Source organism: Homo sapiens, chromosome 3 (genome assembly GCF_000001405.40).
Source record: "Homo sapiens chromosome 3, GRCh38.p14 Primary Assembly".
Taxonomy (NCBI): domain Eukaryota; kingdom Metazoa; phylum Chordata; class Mammalia; order Primates; family Hominidae; genus Homo; species Homo sapiens.
In genome coordinates this window covers 117,396,375-117,400,836 of record NC_000003.12, presented here as the reverse complement: position 1 = coordinate 117,400,836, position 4,462 = coordinate 117,396,375, and the positions used below count along the sequence as shown (strand labels likewise).

The following is a 4,462-nucleotide window of genomic DNA, read 5'->3' as shown; positions in this document are numbered from 1 at the left end:
TAATTCTTAACAAAGCTGCGACTTAGTTCAGCAAGGAAATAGAAGCACAGTCTAGCATGCCTCCTAATTTTTACTTTGTTTTATTACTTTTCTATCACAGGATATCACAGGCAGCTATTGGTATTTAGGGCATTTTTCTCCTTGTGGAATGTCAACAGGGGCTATCTAAGTTTTAATATACTCTTTAAAAAATAATTAATATCACCAAAGTTCTCAAGACACAACAGCTTCTTTGTGAGAGGTTCTGAGTGGTGATGAGTCATAGAAGCAAAGATTGCTGATATGAAGTGATCAATTGGAGAATCATGAGTCAATCAAGTGGTTCTTCCAGGATCATAAACCCCGAGAGCAAAGCTCAGTCCATTGTAAAGATTATCACAGCCCTGAAACTGAGCTCATCCAGACATCACGATCGATCAGAATCTGTTACGTTCTCCCCAGCTGCTCTTTATCTGCTGCTGGACGATCCTTCTCTTTTTCCCATCGTCAACCAACTTCATTTCAGTTTTACACACCTTTCCCGTTTATTCTTTCTTGCTCCTCTTTTGGATGTTATCTTTTTGTTACCTTCCCTGATTCTCATTTGCTATTCTCCTCTTTCTTTTGTAAAATTCATTTCCTTACTAATTTACTCCCCAAATCTTAGGTTTAATACTTTCCTTAGCTTTCTACCCCAATATCTTCACTTTCTTTACTCCCCTCTGCCCTGACCTCCTGCATTCTGATTAGATGCCATATGTATAACAAGGTAGACAGATGCTTTGCTGTTAAGCTAAAGGGCTTTTTAATTTACCAGAACAGAAACCACGAGCTTTCTTTTTGTTTGGGGACATCAGCAGTTCATGGCAAAGGGCTTAGGAATACAAATGAGGGTTTTTCTCTTCAAGCAGCATGGAGTCTCAGCATGCCTCTCGTCCTCTCTCCTTATTTTACTTGATCTGCAAAGTAAAAATCTGCACATTTGATGGATTCGTAAATACCACTAATGACACTTAGATCTCCGGACACACAGTGCTTTAAGCAGTAGGGGCAGCCAGCCACGCAGCCTATGTCTGTGACTGTCAATGCATTTTACCTATTATCTCTCTACATATTCTTTTTTAAATCTGTGACCATCAACAGTGTTTATTTTGATGGGTTTCTCAACTTTGCCTAAACTGAAAGTGTTTTGTTTTTCTCTGGCACTCTGTGTGTAATCAGAGATGGCTTGGGTACACAGAGAAGGCCCACAGACAGCCTATCAGACCACAGAGCCAGAACATGCCTGTGGTCTGACAATCACCCTGTAGGGTTCTCCCAGTGCTAACTCTGATCCAAGAGAAAGGAAGATGAGGAGAACAGCCAGCAATTTTAGGACAAGGCCACACAGACAAAAACTGCTGTGACTCCAGAGTGTGTCTGGAGAGGAGGCTTGCAATGAAAGGCAGCTTTTCTCTCTCTTTGGGGTAGAGTGCTTCACCTGCCACAGTGATGGTGCCCCACTGCTGACTGTCCAGCAGGTAATAGCATGGGGTTCAGAAGAAGGCTGCTATGGAAGCAGAGGTATCTGTCTATGCCACACCTAGAGCCCTTCACAAGGAGTGTGTATCCCCCAGTCACCAGGAGCTACAGCAAAACAAGTGCTCAACAAATAATCCACAGCCATGAATTTTAAAATATCTTATGACATTGTTCTTGACTGTAGTTTTGCTCCTGTAGACATTTGTAACATGACTTTGTGACTTTGCACTTAGCATTGGTAATGTGTTGTCTTTTTTTTTTTTTTTTTTTTTTTTGTTACTGTATGGATTTCCCAAAAAGCCCTCGAAGGGAAATAGAGCAAGTAGTAGTTTCCATATTTTACAGATGTGGAAACTGAGGAATAGGTGAGGCAGCATCCTTTCCACACAGAGGCACTCAAAGAAATGATTACAATTGAACAGCCAGTCACATTCCTTTTTTTTTTTCCTTACAGGGGGAAAAAAGAGTTGATCTTTTCCACATGAATGAGATTGGACACTCTCTCAAGCCAAGTGCTGTGGGACTCAGACAGAAAGGGCCACCTGTTATGGAGGTGACTTAGGTCAGGAGATAATTCTCAGCTGTTCAAACAAATAAACTTCAACACCACAGGTCACTTCCTTTACCTGCTCTTTGTGTCCGCAGCACCCTGCCGTGCCGCCAAGCCATTTACCCCTTTTAATTGAGCAGACGTGGCTTTTTTTCTGCCTGTGCTTTTTTCTGGCTTGTTACTGCCATGGCTAACAATTAACACTATGATAAAAATGAATGCTTGCTACATATGCCAAATGATATTACCAACAAGGGGGCTTGTGTGAGAACTCGCAGGTGCTGTGTAAATCCAATTTGTGGGACTCAGACTGCCCAGAATTACACAAAGATAGCAGGGACCGCTGCCCTCATGGAACTTGGCAAAGCACACTGCACAAAGGAATAGATAGCTATTGTGTCTCTCACAAAGAACGCTCTCTGGTCAGTCAGAAGGCCCAGAAAATCAGTCCTTCAGTTTTCTAAGACAAGCAGAATATATGATGTGGAAATCTCCAGCTGTGTGGCCAGGGAAGTCCAGAAACTGGACCTGCCTAGGGGGCAGAGTAAGATGCATTCTCCCCGGGAGCCGGCAGTGTCCCTATGGAGCAGAACCACCGAGTCACAAAATTCTCAATTCTCAGCTCGCTAAGCTATTCTGGTCGCTTTGAGTTAGCTATCTCCTTACTGTTCCTCTCCAAGAAAGCTTCTTCCACCCCCACACACTTCAGAACTTCTGTTCACTTTCAAGTTTCTTTCTTTTTTTTTTTTTTTTGTTCTTTTGTTAAGATCATTTCTCTTCAAGTCTTTCAAAGCTTCTTTGAGGGTTCTCAGAAACACAAAGCACTCCTTTTGGATTGTATTCCTGGTTATTTCAAGGAAGTGGCTGAGAATAAGATACGTGTGTGCCTGTGTGCACACAGCCCCCTGCATCCAGAGCATGCGGACCCTGGCCTGTGAGTGTGCAGGGGCATCCCTGATTGATCCAGGGCAGATAACCTGTGGAGTCTAAGGCAAGATAGGTTTTCATTCTTGCACTGCACTTGTTTGTCTCTGTAATTGTGTAAAAGTTGTACCGCCAATCTTCCTCCCTGTGAGGTCAAGATAATATATTGCTCTCCTCACTTCATTTTTTTTTTTCACAGGTGAAAGGACTATGGACTATAAATTCTGGCAACTATATTGCCTGATCTTTAAATATCCTATGCATAAGCACATAGCGCTTAAACACACTTCCTTGGATCCTCAACACACCCATTCTACGCTTCAATTCTACACTTAAGTGGGTGTGTCGGGGATCCAAGGAAGTGTGTTTAAGCACTCTGTGCTTATGCATGGAATATTTCTGGAACTCCAGCCCCACCACTTACAAGCCATGTACCCTGTTTCCTCCTATAAAATGGATAATGTGATACTATCCACTGCATAGGATTATCAGGAGAGTTAATGAGCAGATCTAGAAATAGCTCTCAGAACAGTGTCTGGCATCTTAGTATAGCCCCATACATGTGAACAATGATGTTATTCCTCTTCGGACAACTTAGATCCAGCCTCACAAGTCTTTTTCATTCTTTCAATACAGCAAGGTTTTCTCTATCTCAGGACACCAAGGTCTTTTCACTTGCTGTGCCCTCTATTCCGACGGTTCTTTGATTGCTCACTGCCCCCATCCCAACACCATCTCATGTTCAGTTTTATCTCATCCTTCAAATCTTACCCAGAGGAGGGCCTTTCCTGACCATTGAGTCTAAGCTACATCGGCTTTCCTGCTATCCTCTGCCTCAGTATCTTGTTCATTGTTTATAGTACCTGCCAAAGTTTAAAATGATTGTTTATTTCTTTAAATGCGTATGGTCTTTCCCAGTTGATTGTGATAGCTTTGTGGGCAGTGACCATGTCTGTCTTATTAACTATTGGATTTCCTTCACCAGTTCATTAACCCAGAGTATATTAATTTAGGGTTTACTTAATGCCAGACACTTTCCTAGGCACCATTAGATATAAGAATGAAACAAACAAACAAACAATCCCTGCCTTCATGGAGGTTACAGTTTAGTTGGAAACATAAAAAATAAACAAATAAGAAAAATATATAGTATGGTACATATTGGTAAGTGCTAAGGGGAACAAGAAAGCAAGAAAAGGGGACAGGGAACATAGGGGGAGGGGCTGCAATTTTAGATAGGGACTCCAGGAGAGGTCTTACTGTGCCTAGGGGAAGGAGGGGAGAAACCGGTGGAGAGAAGGGCAGCCACAGAGGCTCTGAGGTGGGAGCTTACCTGGTGGCTTTGAAAAATAAGGAGGAAATCTTTGAGGTATAGTAGAGCAAGTGAGAGGAGACTAAATGAGGATGGGTTCAAGAGATGCTGGAGGATCATGTGTGGCAATGTATGAGGACCTATGCTTTTACTCTGCATGAACTGAGGAGCCTTGG

The 4,462-nt window shown here is 42.5% G+C and overlaps 2 annotated features.

The window, feature by feature from the left end:
• Window positions 223-922: an enhancer, noted in NCBI's record as "OCT4-NANOG hESC enhancer chr3:117118762-117119461 (GRCh37/hg19 assembly coordinates)". NCBI's record gives its function as "activates a minimal SCP1, AML or CMV promoter by ChIP-STARR-seq in primed H9 embryonic stem cells {active_cell/tissue: H9 hESC(primed)}" and the evidence as "EXISTENCE:reporter gene assay evidence [ECO:0000049][PMID:30033119]".
• Window positions 923-1,623: an enhancer, noted in NCBI's record as "OCT4-NANOG-H3K27ac hESC enhancer chr3:117118061-117118761 (GRCh37/hg19 assembly coordinates)". NCBI's record gives its function as "activates a minimal SCP1, AML or CMV promoter by ChIP-STARR-seq in primed H9 embryonic stem cells {active_cell/tissue: H9 hESC(primed)}" and the evidence as "EXISTENCE:reporter gene assay evidence [ECO:0000049][PMID:30033119]".